Here is a 2,742-nt window from a genome sequence, read left to right on the forward strand (position 1 = left end):
TCATTTGATTGGCCAGAGTTCATAGTTAACCAGTGGACCAAGTTATTATTCCTTAAAGACCCCAAGTCCTCCTTTGGCTCACTTTTTTCTATGACTCGGTGATAAGAAAAACCAAGGAATACAAAGAGGGTTGTTCGTGTGTGTGTCCCATCTGCTATGTAACTATAATTAAATAGGCAGGGGTAGACTCTGTTTACCCATCCATCCTAGACGCAGGAGGCTTCACTTAAAGTAAAGGTCTCTGGATGTAACCATGTTCTCCTATCCATCTTTTAACAGAAAACTCACAAGGTGAACTAGGTGCTTATCCAGTTACTAATAAACAATATCATCTTCTACCATTCCTTGAGTATCACTTGCTTGGTTGGCAACACCCTGAGAAAGACACATGATCAGCACAACAGAATCTTCACAGCCCTGCATCCCTGACCATAATACCATTACAGCAATACCAAATTCTCACCTCTAATCTTTAAAAATACACACAAATAAATAAACCCATTCATTTTTATAAAAATGAAATTATCCTGCTCTGTCGCCTGCCATGGCTGCCCCAGCCCGAGTGGTTCATTGCACTGTGGAGTCAGATTCCGGACGGTATGTCCAGCAAAGGCTCTATAGTTCTGGCCTGCAGTGGCAGCCTGGACACCTTCTGCATCCTCGTGTGGCTGAAGGAACAAGGCTATGACGTCATTGCCTACCTGGCCAGCATTGGCCAGAAGGAAGACTTCCAGGAAGCCAGGAAGAAGGCACTGAAGCCTGGGGCCAAAAAGATGTTAATTGAGGATGTCAACAGGGAGTTTGTGGAGGAGTTCATCTGGCCGGCCATGCAGTCCAGCACACTGTATGAGGACCGCTACCTCCTGGGAACCTCTCTCGCCAGGCCCTGCATCACCCACAAACAAGTGGAAGTCGCCCAGCGGGAGGGGGCCAAATATGTGTCCCACGGCACCACGGGAAAGGGGAATGATCAGGTCTGGTTTGAGCTCACCTGCTACTCGCTGGCCCCCACAGATAAAGGTCATTGCTCCCTGAAGTATGCCCGAATTCTACAACCGGTTCAAGGGCCACAGTGACCTGACGGAATATGCAAAGCAACGCGGGATTCCCACCCCGGTCACTCCCAAGAACCCGTGGAGCATGGACGAGAACCTCATGCACATCAGCTGCGAGGCTGGAATCCTGGAGAATCCCGAGAACCAAGCGCCTCCAGCTCTCTACACGAAGACCCAGGACCCGGCCAAAACCCCCAACACCCCTGACATTCTCGAGATCGAGTTCAAAAAAGGGGTCCCCGTGAAGGTGACCAACGTCAAGGATAGTGCCACCCACCAGACCTCCTTGGAGCTCTTCATGTACCTGAACGAAGTCGCGGGCAAGCACAGCGTGGGCAATATTGCCATCGTGGAGAACCGTTTCATTGGAACGAAGTCCCGAGGTATCTACCGGGCCCCAGCAGGCACCATCCTTTGCTACGCTCATTTAGACATCGAGGCCTTCACCATGTACCGGGAAGTGCACAAAATCAAACAATGCCGGGGCTTGAAATTTGCTGAGCTGGTGTATACTGGTTTCTGGCTTTCCGGCACAGCCCTGAGTGTGAATTTGTCCGCCACTGCATCGCCGAGTCCCAGGAGTGAGTGGAAGGGAAAGTGCAGGTGTCTGTCCTTAAAGGCCAGGTGTACATCCTTGGCTGGGAGTGCCCCACTGTCTACAACGAGGAGCCGGTGAGCATGAACGTGCAGGGTGATTATGAGCCAATTGATGCCACCGGGTTCATCAACATCAATTCCCTCAGGCTGAAGGAATATCATCGTCTCCAGAGCAAGGTCACTGCAAAATAGACCCCCGTACAAGGAGGAGCTGGGGCCTCCTCAATTTGCAGATCGCCCAAGTAAAGGCGCTAATTGTTGTGATAATTTGTACTTGTGACTAGTTCTCCCCGGCTGGCAGCATAGTGGGGCTGCCAGGCCCCAGCTTTGTTCCCTGGTCCCCTTGAAGCCTGCAAACGTCGTCATCGAAGGGAAGGATGGGGGGCAGCTGCGGTGGAGAGCTGTAAAATGACAAAAGATACACTAGTCAAAAAAATGAAATTATACCGTACATATCAACTTATTAACTAAGTTAATAATAACCCAATCATGTATTTTTATATTGATGAATACATACATAAACATGTCTGCTTCCTCATTTTTTATTTTTTTACTTACATTAATGATTTTGTTGTGTGAATACTACCACAGTTTATTGAACCAATCTTCTCTCATTGGAGAGTTAAATTGTTTTTAAGCTTTGACTATTAAAAACAATGTCTCAGTGAAAATCCCTCCCTCTACATGTACCCTTGTGATTGTGACTGACTATACCCAAAGACCATATTCTTCCCTGCACCATGGCAAATATACGTAATATCCTACCATCATTTCTACCAAAGCTTGACTTCCCCAGGTCTGTATCTAGGTAGCTAGAAGCAGCTCATAACTACTTCACTTCAGATGAAACCGCATGTAAATGGCCTGAGCAGCCTGGAGCTCCACAATTAGATTAATTGGGCCCCCAGGTGACTAATCTTGAATTTCTAATGAGTTCATTGGAATAGAAGGAACTGCAAATCTGAATTCAGATGTCAGAGTCAGGACTAACAATATGAAGCACAGGCCCAGTGCAGTGGCTTACTCCTGTAAGCCCAGCGCTTTGGGAGGCCAAGGCAGGCAGATCACTTGAGGCCAGGAGTTGGAGACC

At 48.1% G+C, this 2,742-nt stretch overlaps 1 pseudogene; it reads left to right on the plus strand.

The window, feature by feature from the left end:
- ASS1P13 (argininosuccinate synthetase 1 pseudogene 13) lies at window positions 527–2,081 on the plus strand (annotated as a pseudogene).

This window comes from Homo sapiens, chromosome 11 (assembly GCF_000001405.40).
Source record: "Homo sapiens chromosome 11, GRCh38.p14 Primary Assembly".
NCBI lineage: Eukaryota > Metazoa > Chordata > Mammalia > Primates > Hominidae > Homo > Homo sapiens.